This window comes from Homo sapiens, chromosome 20 (assembly GCF_000001405.40).
Source record: "Homo sapiens chromosome 20, GRCh38.p14 Primary Assembly".
NCBI lineage: Eukaryota > Metazoa > Chordata > Mammalia > Primates > Hominidae > Homo > Homo sapiens.
In genome coordinates, this window is record NC_000020.11 from 41,414,988 (window position 1) to 41,437,537 (window position 22,550).

Genomic DNA, 22,550 nt, shown 5'->3' on the forward strand with positions numbered 1-22,550 from the left:
GCAGATTAAGCGCCATTAATGAGTTAGTAACTATCTAGTTCTACAGAAGATGGAGGGCATCTTATAATGAGAGAAAATAAAGCAGGACAACCGAAATAGAGATAAAAGATCCACAAATTATTTTGCGTCTGAGGAAGAAGGGTTTGTTTCTCAGTGTAGAAAGGTAAATGTTTTTAATCTAATGACCTCAATACCCACCAAGATTCCCGCCTGAAGTGTCTGCTCCTTCAAAAAGATGAGGTCCATCCCTCCTTCAACATGTTTCCGCCTCCCTCTCCGCCTCCTCGTGGCTGCATCATCTCTTCTGAGGCTTCCATTGACAATCTGTCCAGTCACAGGATGGATCAGGCCAGCTTGCAGAATCCCAGACAAGTCCATGCCAAGGGCTCCCTGAAGTGAACTGATAGCCCCAATCTTAGGGGTGCTGGCGCTCACTGGGAAAGGGGATGTGGCTCCTGGGGACCCCTCTGATGAGCAGGAGAGGTCCATAGCTGACTCCCCATGCCAGCCATTGAGGATGATAGGGGTGTGCCCGTGGGTGGCAGAGAACTGCTCCAGGCCCCGAGCCTTTGCATCCCTCTCCACCTCAAACTCATAGGGACGCCTGTGCTTTTGTTCATCCTTTGTGAATACTGGAGCTAAGAAGCTCTCCTGTGAACACACAAACAGCAAGAGAGGTCTGAATGTCACACAAGTGGCTGAATGCTAGCTCTTTCTCCAGGCCTGATTTCCCTAGGCCTCATATTGTTTCCAATCATCTTTTTAGGAGTTCTTCTAACTCAGGCCTCCTCAAACCTGAACAGCTTGTTAAAATGCAGATTCTACTTCAGTGGGTCTGAGGTAGAGCCTGAGAATCTGCTTTTTTAACAGGTTTCCAGGTGCTGCTAAAGCTGCTATGCTAGTCCGTGAACTACATTTGGTGTTGCAAGATGATAACTCAGAAATGCTCAACCTCACCTGTGCATCAGAATCACCTGGGAAGTTTAAAACAACTCAGTACCCAGGACACACTCCAGACTGAATAAGTCAGCATCGTTAGCTTGTCACGGTCCCCAGCTGATTCCAATGTGCAGTTGAGCATGAGAACCAGCTAGTTAATAATGTATCTCAAAACTCATCACCCCCACCAAAACGCTCACTCCTGCCTTGATTTCCCTAATTTCTATCAGCTTCCATTGTTAGAGCTCAGTTCTCTAAGGGTCAACCACACTGTTCCATTCATGCTTCCCTTTCCTTATATATTTATTAGTCATGGGGTCATCTTTGCCAGTTCCCCCCTATCTTTGTATCCACTCTGAAACAACCGGGGTCTAGAACCTCTCTTTATCAGTTTCCTGCTTGGCCCCCCTAGCCAAGCTGTATTCTACTCCAAGTGAGCTGCAAACCTCTGCTTTCATCATGCCTTCTCCTGCTCCAATACTTTTACTAGCTCTTCACTACATACAGGATAAAGTCTAAATTCCCCAATCAACACTAATGGCTTGGCAAAAAAAAACCCCTATCCACTCAGTAAATACTTGCTGAATGAATGAACTCAACAGAGACGTGGAACACGCCCACCATTCTTTGTTTTGTGGTCACTCCATTCTTGCCGGCTCACCTTGTGGATCTGGGCCGCCAATGCTGCGCCGTTGCTGAAGCTGTGTTCTGCTGCTTCCGGCTCTGAGAGGCTGGTTCGAGAACCAGCACTGCTGGTTAATACCGGGGTGGGCAGTGTGCCTGAGGGCTCATACTGCTGGCTAGAGGGCCACTTCCCCTTTAACACCACGTGGCAGATATTATCTAGGCGGTTAATTATCACGCGGTCCTAGAAAAAAGGATAAAGCTCTGATGAATAAGGATCGAGTTACCTAAATTCACAAAATCCTTTGAGATCAAGGGTTAAGCTTTTCACCAGAAGGAGTCGATAAGAAAAGAGCACACTCAAACATACTCACTTTATAAGGCTTAAAATAAAAATCATAGTCTGGACAATACAAATTAAAGCCATCGTACTATAAATAAGAGGACAATTTGACACCTTCATCTTACAGTCGAATTAGTTAAGCGCATGTATCTTTAATGTTCAAATGCTACATAACTAATATCTTTTAAAGGTATTAAACATTTCTGAGTTTCTTGTTCAGAACTATTTCTAAAAGGGTTAAAAAAAGCAATTCAAAGCTGGGAATGGTTTGGGGGTAGGGTGGGAAACGCAAGCTCTGGGGTACCTTTGGCCACTCAGAGAAGGAATAGAGAGTTTTCTCCTGTAGCAGCTGAGCAATAGTGGGAGCTCGAGCCTCCTGTAGCTCATCCCCAATGTCTCCTGTGATGCCCGATGTTGAGCTCTTGCTCTCCTCTTCAGAGTACTTCCCTGGATAATCTGGGAAGAGGTTAAAAAATTAATCAGGCACTTAACTATAGTAGTGAGATACTAGTGATCTGAGAGATTAGGATATCCTCTTTTCCTTTTGCTTTTTAAATTAGCTCATTCTGTGCTATTTTAAATGGAATATTAATTATGATATCTTCTATTTCCAGGAGAACCGTATCAGTTAAGCCATAAAAGCAAATCCTGCTCTGGGGCTCCCAAGGCAAGTCTTCTAGTGAGCATTTGCATCCATATCCCAACACAAGAAAAGAGAAAGGAAATTTTTCTTGTGTATCCAAGAGTGAAAGAGATGACTAACCACAAAGAGGCTTCTCACTTAGTGTAGTGGTCAAGGGAAAGCTGAACATTCTAACACTTTGAGATCTTTGAAGGGACAGTCTATGAAATGTAACACGGCAAGACGGTGATTAATATGAGAAAGGATGAAAGTCATGAAGCTTACAACAAAGGTAAGACAGACCTGATTCATGTAAAAAAAGATGCCAAGAAACTCAGAACATTTCAATTACTTCACTCATGGAAAGAAATGGACATGTAACTTATTCTTTCAAGCTTCAGTAATGGTGAAAGTTTATCATCAATGTGTCAACGTGAATGGATCTTCAAAGATCCACTTACAGGAAATGAACAGACAATGGAAAAACACCTAAGGCAGGAAAAGTTGTTGACCTCTTTCTTGGTTAAATGACAAGGAGCATCCATCCTTTGAAATGTGGCTATTTCACTTCTCAATGTGCAACAAGTCTCCTAGGGAGCTGCAGCGACCTGACCATGAAAAACAGGGCCTTGCTAGGCCTGGTAGACTCAGGATAAGCCAGACAGATACCGCCCAGGTCCTCAAGATTCTTACAGCCCTATGAGGGAAGACAGCCAGGAAAGAGGTGACAATAAAGGAGCAACTAAAATTATCAGCTGTGATAAGTACTATCAAGGGAAAGAAACAAGACGCCATGATAGGGAACAAGAGGGAAGAACCTACTCAAGTAGGTTGTTAGAGAGTCTCTCGGAGGAGGGAGCTCCCATGAAGATGAGGAGGCAACAGGGAAGGGTATTGTGGACATGCTGAGGAACGAAGTGAGGGCCAGGAGGAAAGCACAAAGATGAGGCTAGAGGGGTGGAAATCATCTAGAACATGCTGAGTCCTCTAGGCCAGAATAGAAAATTTAGATTTTATTCTAGATTCAATGGGGGACCACCACTGAAAGGTTTTAAGCAGAGGAGTTGAATTTAAGTTTTTTTTTTTTAAAAGCAAAATCATGTGAGACAGAAAACCTGGAAAAAGCCAGGAGACCTGGGGGCTGGCCCTGACAGGTGTACCAATTAATTACTGCTCCTTCAGGACTGTAGATTTCTAGTCTCGAAAGCAGGGCTAATCCTCTCTGGCCTACCTGTCCCACACCTCATATGTGTGGAGGATCCCTTCCAGGGTCTGCAAAAGCACTTTTAAAAGCATCAGTGAAAGGGACTCCCACCCACGCGTGCACATGATGCTCACCAAAGCTTATTAAGGTCACTGCTCCCTCTACTCTGACTTAGCAAGGCTGACGCTGCCATCAAAGGACACCAGTTCAGGAACATAATTTCTCCTCTAAACCATACTTATCTTTACCTTGTACTCACTTGATTGCCTGGGTTTCCAAGGACTGATAATTTGGTTATTTTTACCCGCAACAGGGTTCAAAAAGCAATGTGGGTTTTATAATTCAACACATGGCAGCAATGCTTCGTGGCCTGCCATGAGGAGGATCAGGCATAGTTGTAGACTGGCTCCTTCTGGGTTGGCTGGGGTTACAACTCTATCAAGCTACTTTCAATTTGGCTTCTCGGTTTTTATCTTAGCTAGTATGTAAATTTTAATTTGGGTTCAGACTCTTCCCAAGAGTTCTGAATAACTAAAACCAAGACGAGGAGTTTAAAAATAAAAAGCTAGATAACCTGAGGCTGGGTGCAGTGGCTCACGTCTGTAATCCCAGCACTTTGGGAGGCTGAGGCAAGTGGATTGCTTGAAGCCAGAAGTTCAAGACCAGCCTGGCCAACATGGTGAAACTCTGTACTAAAAATACAAAAATCAGTCAGACGTGGTGGCACACACCTGTAATCCCAGCTTGGGATGTTGAACCCAGGAGGCACAGGTTGCAGTGAGCTGAGATTGCGCCACTGCACTCCAGCCTGGGTGACAGAGCAAGACTCTGTCTCAAAAAAAAAAAAAAAAAAAAAAAAAAAAAAAAAAAAAGGCTAGATAACTTGAGGGACTTAGCTTAGCTCCTCTCTTTCCCTCTTTAACATAAAATCAGTGCTCCAGAAAGGGACAATGTGTCTGTCTACACCCCTCAGCACCACAGTGGACCAGGCATGAAAGGAGTTGTTTTTGGTTTTTTGTTCACCCTAATAGGCCTTCTTGGATCTGAAAAAAATTAAAACTACAGCTAACAATCATTTTGTTGCTGTTGTTCCTCAGGATCCCTGATCACTGTATGTCTATTCTTGCAAAGCCCATAGAATCTCAGGGTCACCTAGATTCTTAACATTTTGAAATTCCTTCTAGCTTAAACCCTTATATAAGATTTCCCTATAGGATCAGATCTATTTTCTTCATTGTTGTAAACTTTTTATTTCTGTTGAGTTACTGAAAGGAATCTAAATCAAATGCACTGACCTTAAGCCACACAGTTTTGACAATGACATGAATAAATGGCTTTTTTGCTCACCTTAACAAAGATCAAATTTATTTGTATTTTTGTTCAGTTCCTGAAAAATTAACTGCCCCTATATTAAAGTGCAAGTTCCTAACATCCCAAGGCTGTTCTACTTTAGCCAGTTTGAAGCACCTTATCTAGGGGAAGAACAAACTATTTCCCCTTAACACCATACATAGCATCTATTGAATGAAAACACACAAGCCCCTGCCCAAATTATATGAGTGAGGCAGCCAAACTGCTATGATTGTCTATGATCTTCAATTTTCTACAACATGACCACAGTTACTAAGCTACTCGAATTTTCAGTCCAAGGCCTATGACCTTTGGTGAGGGTAGGCAGGTCTGTTTCAGAAGCTGTAAAAATATGAAGCACTCTCTCCCCTAAAACCCAACCCCCCGTCGTGTGTGAACTAGTTTATCCAAAATGCCACAAGATCCTACATACTGTACCTTGACTATGGCAGTTTCCGTCTCTATCATAATCATCTTTATTCTCAAAATCCATGTCTTCTGATTTGAGCTCACTTCCTTCAAGAGGATATGTGGGGAAAACGTTTTGCCCCTCTGCACTTTCTTTCCAAGGTTCTTTTAAAAGCTCATGCTTCACTTTAAACGGCTGTGATGGAATAGCAGTGGGTTCACCCTCCATGGCGATAGTATTGGTTTTACTTTTGAACAGATCTGGGATATAAGCCTTGGGTTTCTCGATTTCAAATTCATCATTCTCGAGGCCATGCATCCACCTCTCCATGTGTTTGCAGTGGCACTGACAGGCTGCTGGAGCGGGGAAAGCCCTCTGTAGCCCAGGAGTCTGGTTTGCCACCTCTAAGCTTCCTTTCTTGGTTTCATCTTGGAAGCCTTGGTTCTTTTCCCTTGAGATGTTAGTAGTGGGCTCCGTGAGATGCAATACCTCTGGCCTTTCCCCCATGCCTACTGCCATGGCTAAGTTTTCCTCCTCGTTTTCCTCCTCTTCTTCCTCCTCATCACTGTGGTTCTGACTCAAAATCAATTTACTTTCTAAGCTTTTGTTTTCCAATAAATCAATTAATTGCTGATCTGATGACAGGTTTCTTTTGGAGTCACAGACACTAAGACTGCACATATCTACAAACCCACTTTCATTTCCTGGATTCAAGGAAGGGGAAGCTAAACACTTGGCTTCCAGCTGGCCAATGTTTTCAGGTCTCTGTCCTGCCTCACTGCAGCAGAGCTCCCCTTCCTTTGAAATAGACATCAACAAATGTTTTCCATTTTTGATGTTTGCTTGAGCTACTCCTCCTGCTTCTAAGCTACCCATAAAAGTAGGGCCAGAAGCTATTTCTGCCTCAGGGCCACCAGACTGGCAGTTCCCATCTTTGCTTATTGAGATGGTAATAACATCTTTTCTAGATTCAGTATTGGTACTTGGGCTCTCCTGAAAAGAGCTTGGTTCTTGGCTGAGCACCTTCTTACCATACATCATGCTCTCTAAGGACTCAGGCAGCAGACTTTCATCATGGTTGATGGAAATGACATCCTGAACTTTAGAAATAAAGTTTTCACATGTCACATCAGGCAGGCTGAGATGATCATCTCTGCTTTCTACTCTCACTAGATTTTCAGGTTCATTTTCAAGGGACTCTGAAGTCCTACTCATTTGAGAATATGTAAGAGATTCATATAACTTGGAGTTGGTCTGGTAAAGGCAACAGAGATTTCCTGGTGCCTGGGTGCCAGATCTTTTATGCTGGGCATAGTTTCTATAGGCATCCAGGAAGGACAGCTGGGGGTCGTTCATGATGTAACAGTCAGTGCGGTTCAGCCCATGTTTGGCAGTGCCGATGAGCAGGTCTCGATCATGCTTCCCACACTCCCACCAGACTGGGAGGTAGAGGCTGGGCCTGCACAGCTGGAGGCGTTCATGCAGCTGAGGGCACTTGAGCACTTGCTCTCGGACTTTCCGTAACAGTTCAATGCGGTACAGAGTTCTTGCAGCACGTTCCTCAGTGATGGGTTCAACGTAGATGGTGGTATCTGGGGGACCTGGAGAGAAAGGGAAATAAAGCCTATCACTGAAGGTGACCTCAGACACTCCCCGCCCACCTGAGCCCCTGCATCTTTGGTCTTGGAGTTTAGCTCCCTGGCTCCTCAGCATGGCAGTTTCAGGTGTGTGAGCCCTTGCCAAAATAGGAAACTGAAAAAGAATGGAAGGCTTTTATGAAACAAGGACAGACCCAAAGGGTGTGAAAGAAGAGCATAAAAATTCCAGTTCTGAAAACAGTATTAGTTTCCTTTAAATAAGCATGTACTAGGCCAGGCATAGTATAGTAGTAGTTCACACCTGTAATCCCAGCACTTTGAGAGGCAGAGGCTAGGAGGATCACTTGAGGCCAGGAGTTCAAGACCAGCCCGGGCAACAAAGTGAGACCCCACCCCCCATGTCTACAAAAAATAAAAAAAATTATCTGGGCATGGTAGCATGTACCTATAGTCTGGCTGCTTGGAAGGCTGAGACAAGAGGATCTGGGAACCCAGGAGTTTGAGGTTACAGTGAGCTGTGATCATGTCACTGTACTCTACACTAGGTACTTTATACACATCTCTTAGTTCTCATGAAAATCCTACCATACCATCATCATGCCTGTCCTATTTCAAGGATAAGGAAATTGGCTCAGATAAACTACCTTGCTCCACGTGACAGAACCAGGATTTAAATCCAGGTTTTGTCAGTGTGACTCCAAGGTCCACCATCTTTCCAATATATTCAGCTCCCTGGCTTGGATGACAACACTTTAGCCCTGCCATATAGGAGGCAAAGGCTGGTATGTCTTGTGCGTGCTGCCATCAGCCCTGAACCCACACTGAGTAGGCTCAATGGTTGCTTTGGCTTTCCTAAAATATTGTCCCATGATCCAGAGGAACTCCATCTACAAATACGAGGCTACAGGGAGGCCTGAAGGAAGCTGTTGCAAGTGCCAACCATGAAGACATTTTTCAAAAGGGTTCTCTATTGCATCAGGGGATATTTAAATGACAGCCACTTACTTTCTATAGTTACAAGTCGACATGTGAGGAAATACTTAAAGTTATTAAGACTTAATCTAAGGAAGGTGCAAAGTTCAGAGTAGGATAAATCTGAACATGACTTAAAAAAAACCATGACTTTAAAAAAACCCTTATACTTTGGAGAAAGTGGTTGGCAGTCTTCCAATATTTCTGTGATGTTTTAAGCTGAATTTCAACTTTCACTGAAGTTACATCATTTTGGGAGAGAGATTTTATTTTATGAGGTGGACCCAATTAGAAGTTCATGAATTTCTAAAAGCCACTCATCTTTACCTAAATTCCTCATGTAGACTCTAGTTTTTATAGGTATACCTAAAGTAATTCTGCAATTTGAAAATCAGAATGTTCTTTCCTTGTATCATCTGACAATATACTGATAGTTTTCTCACCGCCATCTTTCCATGTGGGTAGACGACAGACATTCCGGCACATGGCCACAAAACTATAAAAATACTGTTCCAGGCTCTCATCCGACTTCTTGTCCAAACGGGAAATGATGCGGAACTGTGTCCAGTCAAAGGTTTTCTTTTCTTGATCGTAAACAACACCAAAGGAAGACACTGTTCTATAGAAGTCTGCTTGTTCTCTCCTAGTCCACCTTGAGATTTAATCAGAAAGGAAGAGTGAGCTCTTTCTTCTTTTTTTAAAGCCAATAACTGCTTATTGAGAGCCTACTATGAGAGCCCATAAAGTCAAGAAAGGAGGCAGAGCTGGTTTGTCTCTTTTATTATTTTTATTTAAGTTAAACTGGGCTGAAGGGCTTATAATGAAAACAGCCTATTATCCAACTCCCAAAGAGGTAATCACTTCCAAATCTTTCAGCTCTTTCTTCTGGTATTTACCTCCCTATTTCTAAACCAGGTATACACTTGCTATCTCTTGATTCATCAATTTTAGGAATCACCTAGTTAACTTCTGCCTGTAGATGATGAAGATTTTTAAAATACTATATATGCTTAAATATCTAGCCTTATTTTTTTTTACCCGTATGGCAATATAGAAGCAGAGAATCCTGAAGGGATGTTCCAGACCATTAAATTCAACCTCCTTATCTTACTGGTGTCCCGAAGGGAAGTGACTACTTCAGTGACACAACCCCTGCCTCCCCATCTCATATTGCTTTTCTTTGTGGTTTTATGTAGGTAGGTTGTCCATGACAATTATCTTCTCTGGGACACAAAGGTCCTCTAGTCTTTATATCCTATACGAGTAAGTCAATGACTTAAGGGAGGTGGATAATTATATACCACCATAGCCATTATGAGGGGCTCCTGGGCAGGGTGCTCTCCAATCCAGAGGGAGTCTAGCTAGGCATGGGGGTAACAGGGTGAGGGGTTAGAGAAAGAGTGAGAAGCAGGGAAGAAGTGGCTCTGGTTCTTCTCTTTAGAGATGTGCAAGAAGGAAGACATATATTCCTTGAACTATCGAATTTCATAAGTCAGGAGTACAGAGAAGTAATTAAATTTGTTATGCAGTCTTCTTTTAATTCATGGGGTGTTTCATCAGAAAGAGAGATATGACTCAAGGAATTGCAGCTTTGTTGATACCTTCTGGTGGCATCATTTCTAGCCTATGCTGGCCTTCTGTAAGCCTTTTAGGGCTTAATTCTCAGATGGGCAAGTCACTGCTGGTAATTTATTCTTTCCTTCTGGGCTTGTATTTTACGGTATTTATTGCCCTGGAAGGCTTGATAAGGATTTAGCTATAATAAGACAGCTTCAGTGCATACTGTTCCCTTTGTTACTAAAATAATTAGGGGGTCTGAAATGGTCTGACACATTCCATTGTGGTGTTTCTAAACCACATCCCCAGAGACTGGGGTTTAACTTAGGAAGAGTGTCAAGTTAGAAAATCATAAAAATCTGGAAACTGTAAAGACAGGGTGTTCCTAGACCTCATCAGACTCCCATCACCATGATACCATCACAACTGAAGGCTGAATGTAATGAATTCTGGAGACAACCTAACTTCACATGAGAACAGAAATATACTCGCCCTCCAAGCTACCGGCTTTACCTTTTGAAAACTTTACCCAGTGGGTGGCTGAGCATGCCCCTTTGGCCACTGGCTTTTACCTCTTTTGGGCTTCCTTGTTGATGAGGTCCATTTCTGAGGTTCTCCTGAACATCTCTTCCTGAACCCAATATCCTTGGTTACCTGGTCCCAGAATTTCAGGCCGGCACAGTTCCTTGCGGTTGCAGCGCTGGTAAACAGTGACCAGACGTCTGAGACGAGCTGTGAGGGCGGAGGAAACTGGCCAGGGCGATTTGTCTGGGTCGGAGCCATCCTGGGCTTCAAACATCAGTGAGGATATTAGTATTTACAAACAGAACTAAAACAGGAGTGACTGTCTTTTGGTTTTGTTTAAATAAAAACAAAGCTGACTCAATAATTTACTCAAAGTAGTTACTGTTTTAATAATTGGCCCAGGAGCAAGGCATGACTGGAAGGGCTGCAATTTTGCCTTGGATACAGCTTATGTTGTGGTCAATTAATTCTGTTATCTCTCAAACACAGAAGTGTCTTTTTGTGGTGGCAGAAGTTATGTGAGGACTTTGCTCTAAAGCACAGGAATGAGCAGATCCTTTGTTGCCTGCACCTTCCAATTACCAAAGCTCCTCTCACGTCTGAATTCAGAAAATTCAAAAACCAAACCAAACTAAACCAACCCCCACAACCTTTCTTTAAAAAAAAAAACAAAAAAAACAAAAAAAACCCGATGTCATCACAATTCCTTTTTACCTCTCAGACCTTATTCTAACTGAAGATATTAACATTTACTTCACTTTCAAATTTTAATGCCAGGTAGAGGAAGCCAGAGCCATGCTGAAGCTCCATGTGTGACTCTAGGGGAGTTTGATGATGGTCAACTTACTTGGCTTTTTAAAAGAGCCTCCTTAAAAAACTACTTATTAATTACATATAAACTCCACGATAACTAACAAACTAAGACCTTACTTTCCTATGCCTTCAGAAGGACATAGTCTCACCTGCCCGGCTGTCATCCTTCTTTTCGCTAAAAACGCCATCACCTCCATCACTGGAACTCTCCTAGGGATAAATAAAGCCATCCCATCAGCAAAACTGCAGCTTAGAAGAAACCAGCTCAGAAAGTCTTGAAACGGAAAGAGTAAGCATCACGCATAAGAGCTGTCCCCTGCCCATGAACAACTCAGACCAAGATAGGACCTGATAAAGCTTACTTCTGTACAATCTTAAAAGAGCCAGAAAGCAGTTTATTTAAAATAAGTTTTTTTTTTCTTTTCCTGGAACCATGTGGAATGCTTCTGCCTGTAGAGAATCGGCTTGAGCAATGATGAACTGGCACGCTCTCTCTGGCAATTACATTTTACAAGTACTATTTTAGTTGTGAATTTAAATATTTGCCTTACCATCGTCACTTGCAATTTAATACTGTCATTTCATTTCACAAAGGTTGTGCCTGCATTTCTGTTCTTTTGCTGTGAAAAAGTGTCATGCTCATGTTCATTATGGTTAGCTTACTTCACAGCAACAGACACTATTTTCATAAAACACTACTGCTCCAGACATGAAACCTGATGGCGCAAAACCCCAGGAATTTAAAATTAAAATCATGACTTGAGCTCTAAGTGAATCTGGAGTAATATCACAAGCACTGAGCTTGCCCAAGTCGGTGTATGTGTCAAACCAGCTTTAATGAATTCCTTCGCAAATCCTTCTTGGTCTCAGGAATGGAACTTTAAAAACTCCTCATATGTAATTCAGGTGGGAATCTGAGGGGTAACAGAAGTGACTGTGCTATTTTTCAACTGGACTCTAATTTCAACACTAAAACTTACTATATTTTGACTAGCATCTTTTGACCTGAATGACAGTACAGAACAACCTCAGGATTCAAGACTTTGCTATTTTAGAGCACAGGGTCAGAAAGAAGGGTCAGCAAACTGCGGCCTGCAGACTTTCTGTGTGGCCCTCAAGCTAAGAATGGTTCTTACGTTTTTAAAGGGTGAAAAAAAGGGAGGAAGAATATGCAACAGAAGCCATATATGGCCTTCTAGCCCAGGGTATTTACTATCTGGTCCTTTACTTGCTACTTCCTGGAATACACAACATGGTAGACCAGTAATCTAGTATGGTAGGAAAGGAGACACCCATGACTGCCAACAGTGAAAATTCAAAATGCTCTTTTGGGCCCCTGATACGACGCAAAGAACAGGAGCCCATTTTCTGAATGAATTTCTCTCTTACGCAGAACAGCGTTAACAGCTAATATTACGGAGAACTACGTGTTAAGCATTGCACAAAACCTTTTACATGGCTCATCTCACTTAGTTATCAGCACTGTCTCATGAGATAGAAACCATTACTATGCTCATTTTACAGATGCAGAAAACAAGCCCTAGAAATGTTCAGTAACTTGCCCAAGGTCACACAGCTGGCAAGTGGCAGAGCTGGGATTCAAATACAGGTAATCTGATTTGAGAGCCAACACTTTCAACTAACAAGCTGTCTAAAAAAGGACAAGAGAGTCTTAGATGAAAATTTGTCTTGGAGAGTGAAAACATATTTATAACAGAAGTGGGGAACACTAGCTAACCTCCTTTGCCTGGGCCAGAATTGTCTCCTGTTATCTAATGTTAATGAAGAGTGAAAACCCAGGGCTGATCTACTGTACCATTTTGAAGTGGCAGTTAAATATACCATTTTATCTTATACTACTATTTAGGCAGTTAAAAAAACAACCTACTATGCCTTATATAATTTCCTGCCAGAGAGGACTTTTTAAATATCCCCACAGTATCTGTGAAGATCCTTTGAATGCTGAAATGTATAAGTGTAGTACTTCCAGCTGAGAAATGCTCTACAGTCTACACAACACAGGTGGCAGGCCCCAGAGCTACCATGTTCCTTCGTGCCATGTAGTGGTGGCTGACATGGGCATCATCATACCCCAAGTCCATGACAACAGGCTCCCAGCTTGGTGTGAGGCAGGCATACAGCAAATGCTAGCTTCCCTTCCAGTCCACCTAGTAGTTTCTGTTGGTACAGTTAGTAAACATGAATAGTTTTAGGCAAAACTTTCAAGTAAGGAAAGCTTTGAGCATTCATAGTGTTTTTCTGTTCCTGTCCTCTCTTGAAGGTACTTCCTCTCTCTAGAAATGACAGAATGAAGAAGACCTAGTTTGTTAGTAGCTCAAGTGAAAAAGATGTCAGACTTTTAGTTAATAATCCGTTTAATGTGAGTGTGTGTGAGGTGCTGTAGCAGTGACAGTCCTGAGCATGCAGAGGCCCTGCATCTGAACTATGTAGTCTAATGTGTGCTACCTCAATTTCTGCTTACATGATTAACTTGAAAGAAATGTTCATCTTCAAAGAGGTATGAATCATCTCACAGAGAAGGGCCCCAGAGTGCTGACAAGAATGTCAACAACACAGCAAACTGATTGGTTACAATGTGCAATTTCTCCATCTTGAGGACACACGTGGTTTGGAGTCCCATGATCCACTGCTCTCTGGTCTCGGGCAAGTTGTTTTGATCTCTCTCAAGCTCATTTCTTCTTTTGCAAAATGGAGAATGGCATAAACTTCAGGTGGAAAGCAGATATACCTCAAATGCCATTAACACAATATTCAAGGATTTTATTATGGAAAGACTGCAGAATGTAGAAAAAGAAGAGGGCAGGGGAGATAGCACTCTTGTGTCCCCTGGCTGTATGGCTTTTTTGCAGCTGATTAAAACTGAGCTCCCTCGTCTCTACAATGGGCATAAGAATAATGCCTAACAGATGGGGAAATATGCTTTGTAAGTGTGAAAGTATACACAAATACTAGTATTTGAGTTCACAGAACCCTCAAACTCCTAACTCACAAGAAGAAGGTGCTTGTTCAGTTCCTAATTAAACTTTTGGAACAATGGAATTTGGCCATTTTAGGCATTAAATTTTCCTGCAAGTTCTTGGCCATGACTTCATCCTTTTATGTACTGACCTCATGGTTTAGAGAGCACCTGAGATGTCACAGCCACCTACGGTAGGAACTGTGGCACAGCACGGACATGCATGCTTTTGACAGCATAACTACAATGATGAAAATTGTGCTGTTACTTATTGCTATTTCTGTTAAAAGATGTGTTACTCTCCCCACATACTGGCTGTGATAGAGAAAGATTTTGTTTACAATTTCAGGCTCCAGACCATTCCAACCCAAATATACTTTCAGACTAACTGCTTTAGAAGGTTTCTGTAGGTTCACTGAATCTGGCTGCACGTGACATCTGTAATGATTTGCCAATCAAAAGTGCTACTGGTATTAAAACAGAGGGTGGGGGAAGCTGTAACTTAGATCATTTCAAATCTCCCTTCAAATTCTAACATTCTATGACTCTCTGAACGCCACATTTTAAGAGGACAACAACCATAGTGTGCTCTGGAAGGCGCTGGAATAGCAAAGGGTCTGGATATGATATGATATGGAAAAATATAGAGGAACTAGAGGTATTTCACCTGAAAAGAAATTTAAAGAAATTAAGGTCATGAGCTGGTCTCAGCAATTTAAAATTCTATCAGAGAGGGGAAAAACAACAGTTTTGTTCTTTGTAGTACCATAAAGAAAGCTAGATGGAACCCATGGAACCAGCTGGGAGGCAGATTTCTGGTGTGGTAAAAAGAAGTATCATCCAACAATAAAATAGACTTCTTTGGAAGGTGGCATGTTCCTCTTGTTTTCCCCATGAACTCCCCCCTGACAGCCCCGCTAAAGAGGGAACGCCACACTGAGACCACTCAGGCTTGTGCCAGGGCTCCTTGCAATGCTAAGACTCTACCAATCTACTAAACGGTTGCCTTTCTATGCCTAGGTCTGTTGAATTCAGGGGAACTGCTCTAATGAACAGGCTCTTTTTATACAATGCTTTGGGCTTCTTTAACTCTGCCTGAGGACAGAGCTGGGAGAAAGAAACACCCAAACAGTGTCTTCAGTGCAGGAGGTAGGGAGCAAGCGTGAAGCAGGGTGGGCAGCAGGCCTGGCTCAGATGCCGGCCATCCCTCTATGTGTGTGTGGTTTTAGCATGCAGACTAGAAGTAAAGGTGAATCCGTTTATAATCTGTCCACCTCAGAATCTGGGGAAATCCACTCCCCATTTCAACTGCTTTTAATGATATTCTATACCCCAGGTTTTAAGGATATGAAGAGCAAATCATAAATGTGTTAATTTTGTAAATGAATACAAAAGTAATTCCAGAGTTTAACTCTAATATATAAGAGCGCTTAAGTTATTTTTATTGATTCTGCCATGGCCCTCCAGTGTCCTCCTAATTGATTAGCTAAGCATGTCCAGTTTAATGTCAGTGGCTTTCAGAGGCTGGCCTCTTCATATGAGCTACTGCTGGGAGGAAGGGGCATAAACCCACACCTGAATTACTCTCTATTGTCTGGACTACGAAAAGAATACTTGACTACAACAAAGAATACCGGAATATCTAGAGAATTACAAGTCTTAGCTCTGTGATCTAGTGGTTGTGAGAATTTGGTCAAGTCCTTTAACTTTCAGGGAGGGCCTAAAGTTTCCTCAGCCCTCAAATGAAGACAGGGTGAGGTGAGGATCAACTTAAATAAATGGAGTAACTGGTTTGAAAAGAGTCAAGTTCCATATGAGAATAAGGTATTATGTTCATTTCTTTGGTACTTGAGTTGTTTCTACAGGGAAAACGCATCCCAAATTCCAGACAAAAGCAATAATATAAACTAAGGACTGGAACAGCAGAACATGAATTTTTTTTTTTTTTTTTTTTTTTGAGATGAAGTCTAGCTCTGTCGCCCAGGCTGGAGTGTGGTGGCTCGATCTTGGCTCACTGCAACCTCTGCCTCAGCCTCCTGAGTAGCTGGGAGTACAGGCGCATGCCACCACACCTGGCTAATTTTTTATATTTTTAGTAGAGACAGGGTTTCACCATGTTGACCAGGCTGGTCTCGAACTTCTGACCTCGTGATCCACCCGCCTCAGCCTCCCAAAGGCTGGGATTACAGGCATGAGCCACTGCGCCTGGCCCAGAACATGGATTTGAATTGTCAAGATGAGAACCTAACTTCCTTCATGTTACCGGGGTCTGAGGCTTCATGCTGATTTGCTTCAATCCACTGCTTCTCAAACCTTGAGGACACAGGGAAATGCATCTTTGAAAAATTATTATTATCTATTTTAAGAAAGGGATGAAGCCATTGTTACTGTTACAGGGGTCAGAGCTGATGGAGGCCAAAGTAAATAAATACCATACATTCTGCAAGCTAGAATCAACAGAAGAGAATGGAAAATAATGGATAATTTTTGGGTAGTGATCAGGAGAAGAAGAGGGAGGACCCTCGCAGGGGAGTCACTTGGGGACAATGCTACAGTAACTTCTGGGATCCAGAATCCATAACATTCTCTCTATTACTCAATGCTAGAGAAAATTTGGTCATATGGTGCTGGGGCCCAGGTAGGGTTTCAGTCTACTTATGCAAAATCTCAGAAACTCATTTTAAAAATGCAATACAGACTGCCGCTTCTGGGATGCATTTCCCTATTCTTTAAGTATAATTAAACCCTCTGGATAGTAAATATGAAACAAGCATAAGAAAACTCTGAAAGGTGAAAAAAAGAAAGGACAAACTAGAGACCTCAGGACTCAAGGAATGACATGATGAAAAAACATGCTTTTTTTTTTTTTTTGCTTCATATATCCTAGATTTGGAGGTAAAGAAGCGGGCTACCCGGAAATGGCAGAGGCAGACAAAAAAGGCCCTCAAAAAAAACCTTCCGGGCGCGGTGGCTCACGCCTGTAATCCCAGCACTTTTGGAGGCCAAGGCGGGTGGATCACCTGAGGTCAGGAGTTCGAGACCAGCCTGGCCAACATGGTGAAACTCTGTCTCTACTAAAAATACAAAATATTAGCTGGGCATGGTGGCATATGCCTGTAGTCCCAGCTACTTGGGAGGCTGAGGCAGGAGAATCACTTGAAGCTGGGAGGTGGAGATTGCAGGGAGCCAAGATCATGCCATTGCACTCCAACCTGGGCAGCAAGAGTAAAACTCCGTCTCAAAAAAAAAAAAAAAAAAAGAAGCGAGGTGGCTTCCTGCTCTCTCTAGTTAAGGACTAGGAAGAGGTAGGTTAGCAGGTTAGGGACACAGAAAATATTAAGACAATAACTGCTATACCCCAGCCCAACAATGCAGAAGAAACTGTCTCAACTCTACCCATGGCAACAACGGCTGAGTGGGAGCTCAGACTTCTACTTTTTCCAGGTGGTAATAGGGTACCCCATTCCCTTGCTGGGCTGGTATCAGAAAAAGCTAAGCAGGAAGTCAGGACTTTCAACCCTGACAAGTAGTAATGAGGTTCCCCACCCCTACCCATGGTGGAGCTAAACTTCCATTCCTGCTCAAAGTAATGAGAAACATCCCCTTTAGGGGTTAATGGGAGCAGACTGGGAACATGAATTTTTGCTTCCACCTCACAGAAACAAGGTGCCCCCCCCGACCTCTGTTCCCCTGCCAAGAAAGGTGCTGAAAGAGAACGTTTAAATAAGATCCAGAGTCTCACAATACAATGTCCAAAATGTCCAGGTTCCAATAAAAGATCACATACCAAGAACCAAGAAGACCTCAAACTGAATGAAAAAAAGACAAAAGTGGCCAATGCTGAGAGGAAAGATCTTAGAATGATCTGACATAAGAATTTAACAGTCATCAGTGAGCCATTCTGAACATGGCCCACTGTTCAGAATGAAACAGTGAAATGAAATGAAACAGAAAGTTTCAGCAAAGAAACAAAGATCCAAATAATATTTGGATTCAAAGGGAAATTTTAGGTTTGAAAAGTACAATAAACTGGAACAAAAACCAAAACCAAAAATGAAAACCCAAAACCCTCAGGAGAAGACTCAACAGCAGAATGGTGGAGGAAAATAATCAGTGACCTCAAAGACAGAAAAATGGAAAGTACCCAATGTGAATAACAGAAAAAAAAAAAAAATGGACAGAGCCTTAGAGACCCACAGGTCTATAACACAAGATCTAATTTTCATTTTATTGGTTTCCCAGAAGGCGAGGAGAAAGAGGACAGGGCAGAAGAAATACTTGAAGAAATCATGGCTGAGAATGCTTCACATTTAGCAAAAGACAGAAATCAGATTTAAGAAGACGAGTGAATTCCAAATAGGGTAAACTCACAGAAATCCGTAAGCACATAAAATCATAAACTTCTGAAAACTAAAGACAAAGAAAAAATCTTGAAAGCATCAAGAGAGAAAAGACACATTACCAATAGGGGAAAAACTGCTTGAATGACAGATTTCTCATCAGAAACCATGGAGGCCAGAAGCAAGCGGCAGTACCTTAAGAGCTGAAAGAAAAAAACTATCAACCCAGAATCCTCCATTTGGTGAAAATATCCTTTGGGAACAAAGGGGATATTAAGACATTCTCAGATGAAGAAAAACTAAGAGAACCGTCTGACAGTTCTCTAGACTACCTTAAAAGAAGAGCTAAAGAGATTTCTCTAAAAAGAAAGAAAACAATAAAAGAAGGAACCTTGGAACACCAGGAAGAAAAAGAACACAGTAAAAAAAATATGGGTAAATATAGCATATTTTCCTTCTCCTCTTGAGTTTTCTAAGTGATGTTTGACAGTTGAGGCAAAAATTTTAACATTACCTGATAAGAAATGGTTAAGACAACTATATTATAAATGGAAGAGGGTAAAGGAACAAAAATGGAAGTAAGGTTTCCACACTTCACTTAAGCTGATAAAATGATAGCATTAGTAGACGGTGATACATTACATATAAATATATGAAACACCTAGAAGCATTAAAAAGCTACAAAAATAAAGATAAATCAGAATAAAATCATACAAAATACTCATGTAAACCAGAGGAAGGCAGGAAAAATAAAAAATCAGGGAAAACAAAGAGAAGACAATAAAATGACAGGCTTAAGCTTTAATGTATCAATAATTACATTAAGTGTAAATGGTCTGAATAATATCAACTAGAAGACAGAGACCGGCAGAGCGTATTAAAGATTATGATCTACCTGTATGCTATCTATAGGAAACTCACTTCAAATACAATAAAGGCAGGTTAAAAGTAAAATAATAAAAAAGTTATATTTATGCAAACATTAATCAAGGGAAAGTAGCCATATTAATTTATCAGATAAAGTACCCTTCAGAGCAAAGAAAATTATCAGAGTCAAGAGAAAGACATTATATAGTGATAACAGGGTCAATCTGCCAAGAACATGTAATTCTCTCTATACATTTTTTTGAGACAGAATCTCGCTCTGCTGCCCAGGCTGGAGTGCAGTGGCGTGATCATGGCTCGCTGCAACCTCTGCCTCCCGGGTTCAAGTGGTTCTCATGCCTCAGCCTCCTGAGTAGCTGGGATTACAGGCATGCACCACCACGCCTGGCTAATTTTGTATTTTTCGTAGAGATGGGGTTTCACCATGTTGGTCAGGCTGGTCTCAAACCCCTGGCCTCCAGTGATCTGCCTTCTTTGGCCTCCCAAAGTGCTGGGACTACAGGCATGAGTCACCGCGCCTGGCAAGAACATATAATTCTAAATGTGTATGCACCAACCAGAGCTGCAAAATATATGAAGCAAAAACTGATAGAGCTGAAAGGAGACATAAATAAATCCACAATTATAGTTGGAGGCTTCAATATTCTTCTCTCAACAACTGATGAAACGACTAGACAGATAATCAGCAAGGATACAGAAAAACTCAACAACATCATTGACCAACAGGACCTAGTCAACATTTATGAAATACTGCATCCAATAAAACCAAAAGCATGTTCTTTCCAAGTGCCCATGGAACATATACCAAGATATACCATACACTGGGCCATAAAACAAACTTAACAAATTTAAAACAACTGAAATCATATAGAATGTGTTCTCTGATTATAACAGAATCAAACTAGAGATCAATAACAGCAAGGTAATGGGGAAATCTCCAAACACTTGGACACTAAATAATAAACACCTAAATAATTCATGGAAAGTCTCAAGGGAAATTAAAAAAAAATACATTAAACTGAATGAAAGTGAAAATACAACACAAAATTAATGAAACATAACTAAAGCAATGCCGAGGGAAATTTACAGCACTAAATGCATATATTAGACAAACAGAAAAGTTTCAAATCAATAACAAAGAAACTCCCACCTCAAAAACCTAGAAAAGGGCTGGGCACAATGGCTCATGCCTGTAATTCCAGCTCTTTGGGAGGCCGGGGAGGGAGGATTGCTTGAACTCAGGAGTTCAATACTAGCCTGGGCAACAGCAAGACCCTGTCTCTACAAAAAAACAGAAAAATAGAAAAAATTAGCTAGGTGTGGTGGTATGCACCTGTGGTCCCTACTACTTGGGAGGCTGAGCTGGGAGCATCACTTGAGCCTGGGAGGTTGAGGCTTTAGTGAGCTATGATTGCATCACCACACTCCAGTCTAGGTGAAAGAGTGAGACCCTGAGTCAAAAAAAAAAAAAAAAAAAGTAAATGCAGAGGTATATACAGTAAGATTCAGTACTGTAAAAACTCAATGAAGATGTCAATTCTCCCCAAAGAGATATAAAGGTTTAAAGCAATGCCTATCAAAATCCCAGCAACAGTTTCTGTGGATAAGATTATTCTAACATTTATATGGAAAGGCAAAGGAACAAGAAAAGCAAAAACAATTTTGAAAAAGAAGAAAAAAGTGGGAGGTATCTATCTATCAAATTTTAAAACTTACGGTATTGCTACGGCACTCAGGATTATGTGCTACTGACAGAGGAAAAGACAAATAGATATATGGAAAAGAGCAGAGAACTCAGAAATAGAACCCACAAATATGCCAAACTGATTTTTAATTTTTTTTAATTTTTTAATTTTTTGTAGAGACAAGGTCTCACCATGTTGCCCAGGCTAGTCTTGAACTCCTGGGCTCAAGGGATCCTCCCTAAAAAGAGACACTTACAGGGTGGGAGAAAATACTTGCAAACTACGTATCTGACAAAAGACTAGTATCTAGAATATATACAGAACTCTAGAAAATCAACACTAAAACAATGAAATTAGAATATAGGCAAGAGACATAAACATTTCACTGAAAAGGATATACAGATGGCAATTAAACACATAAAAGATCTTCAACATCATTTAGCCATCAGGGAAATGCAAATTAAAATCACAACAAGGTATTGCTACACACCTACCAGAATGGCTCAAGAAAATAATAGTGACCACACCAAATGTTGGTGTGGATGGAGAATACAGAGAAAGCGGATCTCTCATGCATTGCTAATGGGAATGTAAAATGGTACAGCCACTCTGGAAAACAATTTGGCAATTTCTTAAAAAACACAACATGTAACTATCATATGACCCAGCAATTACACTCCTGGGCATTTATTCCAGAGAAATGAAAATGTATGTTCACACAAAAATCTATATGCAAATATTTACAGAGGACTTAATAGTCAAAAACTGGAAACAACCCATATGCCCTTCAGTGGATGAATGGTTGAACAAACTCTGGTTCTTCCATACCACTGAATACTACTCAGCAGTGAAAAGGAATGAACTGTTGATACAGACAACCACCTAGATGAATCCCAGGGAACTTTTCTGCATGAAAAAGCCAATCCCCAAAGTTTACATACTGTATGATTCCATTTACAGAACATTCTTAAAATGACGAAATCATAAAAAATAGAGAACAGATGAGTGGTTGCCAGGAATTTAAAGAGGGGTGAAGGCAGAAGGAAGAGGATGTGGTTATAAGACAGCAACAGGATGAATCTTTGTGGTCATGAGAATGTCCTGTATCTTGACTCTATCCATATCAGTATCCTGGTTGTGATATTGTACTACAATACTGCAAGACGCCACTACGAGGGGAAACTGGATAAAAGGTATATGCGATTTCTGTATTATATTTTGTGACTGCTTCTGAAATATACAGTTATCTCAAAATAAAAAGTTTAATTAGAATAAAAATGCAATTGCAGTCTGTGTATTTTAAGTTTTTATAATAAAATGTTGGGCAAAATGCAATGTAACTGTAGTAATGCAATCAAGTTCCCCCAGATCACTACCAAGATAGGGATTTCTTTCTTAATATGAAAGACGGTGTAAATGACCAATACTGCACATTTGACTCACCGTTTGTTTCTGGAGGCCATCTACTTTGTCCTCAGCATTGTCTTCTTTATCTGTGTTGCCTCTAAATAAAAGTAAAAAAAGGCATCACATACTACCTAGGTCCCCCTTATCCACAGTTTCAGTTACCCTGGTCAACCACAGTCCAAAAATACTAAGATATTTTGGGGGAGAGACAGGGCGAGAGAGAGAGATCACATTCACATTACTTTTATTACAGTATATTGTTATAATTGTTCTATTATTATTGTTGTTAATCCCTTACTG

At 41.3% G+C, this 22,550-nt stretch overlaps 1 protein-coding gene across 16 annotated transcripts in view, besides 2 other annotated features; it reads right to left on the minus strand.

The window, feature by feature from the left end:
* CHD6 (chromodomain helicase DNA binding protein 6) overlaps positions 1-22,550 on the minus strand; it is a 216,295-nt gene that overhangs the window by 12,905 nt on the left and 180,840 nt on the right. For 14 of the 16 annotated variants that reach the window (NM_032221.5, XM_047440549.1, XM_047440545.1 and 11 more), the window contains 8 exons: positions 22,287-22,347; positions 11,106-11,166; positions 10,191-10,407; positions 8,505-8,713; positions 5,521-7,092; positions 2,211-2,362; positions 1,601-1,807; positions 199-651 (listed from right to left, as the gene is read on the minus strand). In NM_032221.5, the coding sequence (NP_115597.3) occupies positions 199-651; positions 1,601-1,807; positions 2,211-2,362; positions 5,521-7,092; positions 8,505-8,713; positions 10,191-10,407; positions 11,106-11,166; positions 22,287-22,347 (2,932 nt within the window). Of the gene's footprint in view, positions 1-198; positions 652-1,600; positions 1,808-2,210; positions 2,363-5,520; positions 7,093-8,504; positions 8,714-10,190; positions 10,408-11,105; positions 11,167-22,286; positions 22,348-22,550 lie in introns of those variants that run through there. The other 2 variants (XM_005260576.5, XM_047440551.1) reach the window with 2 other exon arrangements.
* Positions 10,000-10,241: a silencer, noted in NCBI's record as "fragment chr20:40053627-40053868 (GRCh37/hg19 assembly coordinates)". NCBI's record gives its function as "represses an EF-1alpha promoter that drives an FKBP-Casp9 reporter gene in an ReSE screen in HepG2 liver carcinoma cells {active_cell/tissue: HepG2}" and the evidence as "EXISTENCE:reporter gene assay evidence [ECO:0000049][PMID:32094911]".
* Positions 17,736-17,785: an enhancer, noted in NCBI's record as "active region_17895". NCBI's record gives its function as "activates an Ori minimal core promoter by ATAC-STARR-seq in GM12878 lymphoblastoid cells {active_cell/tissue: GM12878}" and the evidence as "EXISTENCE:reporter gene assay evidence [ECO:0000049][PMID:35858748]".